The following is a 4,983-nucleotide window of genomic DNA, read 5'->3' as shown; positions in this document are numbered from 1 at the left end:
AACTTGGGAAGGAAGCAACTTTGAGGGGTTACTGGGCTGTCCCCTGTGGTCGATCCTATAATCATAGTAACTGCTTCTAGTGTTTCTTGAGCATCTATTATGTACAGGGCATTACCATAAGTGCCTTCCATAAATCCACCCATTTAATATTCAGCCACCTTTATACGAATAAACACAGGCATCACGTTTAAAGCATCCACTGAGTGCCAGGCACTGAGCTGGGTGATTGACATACACCACCCGGGATCCTCTGCGGACCTTGCCAGGGAGGCATCGCCGTCACCCCTGTTCATCAGATGAGGAAACAGATGCCCAGGAGGGCGAGCAGCTGAGGTGTATGGTGGGAGAACAGCAGGCTCCAGAGTCGACTAGACCCAGGGATTCAAATCTTTACTTTTACCCTTCCTGCTGTATGGCCTCAGGCAAGTGACTCCACCTCTCAGAGCCTCAGTTTACCCATCTGGTAAATGGGGATGATTATGGTACTGGAAACACTGGAGCCAGACTTGGTGGGAGCTCGTGAGTGTCATGATAGGGCAGTGGCTGGAGTGCAGACTTTTGGGTTGAATCTTGCTGTGCCCCTTCTTGGCTGTGTAACCTCGGGCATGCCGCTTAGCCTCTCTGGGACTCAGTGTCCTCTGTAAAATGGACATAGCACCTCCCTCATGCGGCAGGTGGGAAGAATGAATGAGCAGAAATCCCCGCAGCCTTCTGTGCGAGGCCAGGTATTCTGCAGCCACTGAACGCAGGTGACTTGTTCTTATATTTCACCTATGATGGCTCCACTGGGACTGGGGTGAGGGGAAGGACACTAGACCATGGGCAGAAGGACAAGGCACCCACATTCTTTGCTGCCCTTTTGCACCCACAAACAATCTGGAAAGGGAAGCTCAGCCTTGCCTGCCTCCTTGAGGGTCGGGGCTGAGGCTTGGCGTGAATGGTTGCCATGGCATCCTCCCCACCTCCCCACCAGCCACTCTGCCTTGCTATGGACTCCACGTTCCTCCCCTACTTAAAACCCTCTAGGGCTCCCCATTCCTCTTCTCGTGTACTACTCCCCAGTTTGGCTGAGCCCCAGACAGGCCTTATCATGGCTCTTTGGTTCTTGGCACCCCAGCCCCAGCCCCCTTGGTACAAACTCTCACACTCATCATTCCCACCTCACCCTTGTGCACACACAGGGCCCTTCACCCGGCATGCCCTCACTTTCCCTAACCCACCTGCCTGGTCTGGATTTCACCCACCCTTCAACGCACGTATTCAAAACCTCCTCCTCCAGGGAGACTGCCCTGATCCTCCCCTTTGAAAGCGAACTCTTTCTAGACTCTCTCTATATATATACCTCACTTACGTCTTTCTATCATTATATATCAACTATTTTTGTCCACCACCTCAAATTTTGGCAGCTGTGAGGTAGAAAATTTGCACAAGGGAGATTTTGGGGAAAAAATATTGCCTCTAAAATACTTAAAGAAATCTGCTGGCCAGGTGTGGTGGCTCACTACTGTAATCCCAGCACTTTGGGAGGCCGAGGCAGGTGGATCACTTGCAGTCAGGAGTTGGAGACCAGCCTGGCCAACATGGTGAAACCCTGTCTCTATCAAAAAATACAAAACTTAGCCAGGTGTGGTGGTGCATGCCTGTAGTCCCAGCTACTCAGGAGGCCGATGTGGGAGAATCACTTGAACCCGGGATGTGGAGGTTGCAGTGAGCTGAGATTGTACCACTGCACTCCAGCCTGCTAGGCGCGACCCTGTCTCAAAAAAAAGAAAAAGAAAAACCTGCTAAGTTGAAATTTTAAAATCTTTAATTAACCCACTCACACTTTATAATTCTATATTAAATTTCTAATTTAATATTTACAAAAATATTACAAAAATTTTCGAGGCGTTTGTAAACAATCTGCGAGTGAGAATGTTTCTTGTTGGGCAAGCGTTCCCTGGTGTACGCAGGGTTGCCAAGAACCCGAAGTAAGTGGTAAAATAAACGCGCTGCTTGTTGCCACACAATTTCAGAAGTGAAGTTACTAATATTATTGAAGTGTTTGGGTGATTTTTCCAACCCTCTTTTGGGTCCAGTCTGACCTTCCGTGTCCGTGTATTCCCCATCATCCTCATCAACCCGTCTCCTTCAACTCTTTTTCCAGTTCCCCGTCTTCTTACCTCCCTCCACCTGGAAAACAGTCTTCCATATTCCCGCCACACATGCTCGCTCACACTCCTCCGCCCCCTGCAATGCCCTCTCCTCTTTTTTGTGGGAATCTGACCCTTCTTCACAGTTGAGTCCAAGCACCACCTCTCCAAGTCACCCCGTCCAGCCCCGATCCAGGACCATCTGCCAGGCTCGGAGGCAGCTGTGCTAACTCTCCCCGCCAGCTCCTTACCTGCAAAATAGAAGGGCTGCAGTATCACAGAGGCCTCAAACTCACGGCCTTCAGGCCAAACCTGGCCTGATATTTGCCCTAACATTTAAATATCAACAGGTTTCATATAGCAATCTAGATCAAGCTTGTCCAACCCGCGAACAACAGGCCACATGTGGCCCAGGATGGCTATGAATACGGCCCCACACAAATTCATAATGTTTCTTAAAACATGAGATTTTGTTTGCGATTTTTTCTTTTTAGCTCATCAGCTATCGTTAGTGTTAGTGTATTTTATGTGTGGCCCAGGGAAGCCAAAAGGTTGGACACCCCGATCTAGATTTACAGCTTCTCATGAAAAACTGTCAGTCCCGGCTTCCCACGGGGCGACACTGGCAGAAACTGAGCAGCGTCCACCCCTTTAGACAGGCCTGCACCCCTCTCCCACCACTTCACCATGAGTGCTGCTTGCCCAGCCCTGGCAGCACCTGAGTTTGGCTTTTTTCAGTCTCAGAATCCCTTCTTTTATTTTATTCTAATTTTTATTATTATTTATTTATTTTCTTTTAGAGACAGGGTTTCGCCATGTTGCCCAGGCTAGTCTCTAACTCTTAGGCTCACACAATCCTCCCATCTCAGCCTCCCAGAGTGCTGGGATTACAGGCATGAGCTATCGCGCCTGGCTGTGAGGCTGCCTTTTGGAACCAGTCCTCCAATGAGGCTGATCCTCTGACTCCCTTGAAAAAGCATCTTAGAGTCTCCTGGTCTGCTGGCAAGGAAAGGCCGCCTGCCCACTTGTTCCCATCTGCACCGGTAGAAGAGACCCTTCCCCAGTGTACATCCTCTGGACACTTAAATTCTTTGAAGCACAGTGTGAAAAACTCAGCACCCCCTGAGGCCAGGTTGTGACCACGCCAGGTTCTGGGCCCTGCCCTAGACCTATGAAGTTGGCCCCTCAAACCAGTTCCCCATCTCAGCAAACGATAGCGCCTGCATCCACCTATCCACTCCAACATCTCCCTCGCCCAATCCAACAAATCCTGCTGGCTTTGCCTTCCAAACAGAATCCAGTCCCTTCTCCCACCTCTGCTGCCATCGCCCTCCTTTTGTCCTAGACTAGGGGAGTCATCTCTGCTGGGTTCTCTGCTCTCATCACAACATCCTGGCCCCCCACAGTCCACTTGCCCCATTTGCAGCCAGAGAGATCCTGCACCCAGGACACATTCCGCAATGTCTGGAAATAATTTTAGTTGTCACAGCTGGGTTTGGGGAGGAGGTGCGACTGGCAACCTCTCCAGTGGGCAGAGGCCGGGGACGCTGCTTAACATCCTACACTGCACAAGACGACCCCACTACAGAGCAGCATCCAGCCCCAAATGTTAATGGTGCCGAAGCTGAGGAACCTGGTGTTAGAACCTGAGTCAGGCCATCTCCCTCCTGTGCCCAGAGCCCTCCAATGCTCCCGCCTCACTTGCAATAAAATTCAAACTCCTCCTCCTCCTGAGGCCCTCAGGGCCTGGATGATCTCTGGCTCTCCTTCACTTTCCCCCACAATGCAAGCTTGTTCCAACCTCAGGGCCTTTGCATCTGCTTTTCCTACGATCTGGAATGCTCTGTCCCAGACATCTGTGTGGCCAGCCCCTTCAATTCCTGCAGACTCAGCCCCTTTTCCCAGTGGTCTCACTATGGGACATGCTATGTCTTTCACTTATTTGTCATTTCTTTGCTGTCTCCCCCTCCCAAAACCTAAGAGCCATAAAGTCAAAGGGTTAGTCCATTTTGTTTCCTGCTGTCTCCCTAGTACTTTAGCACATACTAGATGCTCAATAAATGCTTCCCAAACAAGCACATGACTTGGTCTACCAGGTCTCCTGTGCATTTGAATTTTAGAGTTGCAAAGGTTTAGTCTGCTGAGGGCTGGTGATTCCTTCGTCCTGGAGGAAAAAATTCAGTAGTTCCAGGACTCCATGATCTGAAGCATCTGAAGCATCCATGGAGCTTCCATTTGAGGCCCAGAGCATTGCCCAGGGGTCTCACCCAAGGCCTCGCTTAAAGAGGGGATGACAAGTAGGTGAAAGAGAAGGTGAGGCAGGGGCTGAGCCAGGAGTTTGGGAAGGCTGAGGCCACAGGTGGTGGTGGGTGACAGAGCTCAGCTTGCATGGGTCCCAGGGCTTCACAGCCATCAGGACTCCAGGAGTGCAGCACCAGCCTGCAGATCGCCATGCCCTTTGCAGCATGAGACACACCCAGGGAGGCGCTGGGAGGGGGCTTCTGGAGACCTCCGGCCACAGCTCAGAAAATAAAGATGGACAATTTGGCTCAGGAAAAAGCCATGTAAAGTGAGTTATTCACCAAGAACCAGAGCCAAAGCATCATAATGAAGAATGACCTTAGAGAATGGCCGGACGCAGTGGCTCATGCCTGTAATCCCAGCACTTTGGGAGGCTGAGGCAGCCAGATCACGAGGTCAGGAGATCGAGACCATCCTGGCTAACACAGTGAAACCCCGTCTCTACTAAAAATACAAAAAAAAAATTAGCCCGGCGTGGCGGCATGCGCCTGTAGTGCCAGCTACTTGGGAGGCTGAGGCAGGAGAATGGCGTGAACCCGTGAGGCGGAGC

This window comes from Homo sapiens, chromosome 20, assembly GCF_000001405.40.
Source record: "Homo sapiens chromosome 20, GRCh38.p14 Primary Assembly".
NCBI classification, from domain to species: domain Eukaryota; kingdom Metazoa; phylum Chordata; class Mammalia; order Primates; family Hominidae; genus Homo; species Homo sapiens.
Note: the sequence above shows the minus strand (reverse complement) of the source record.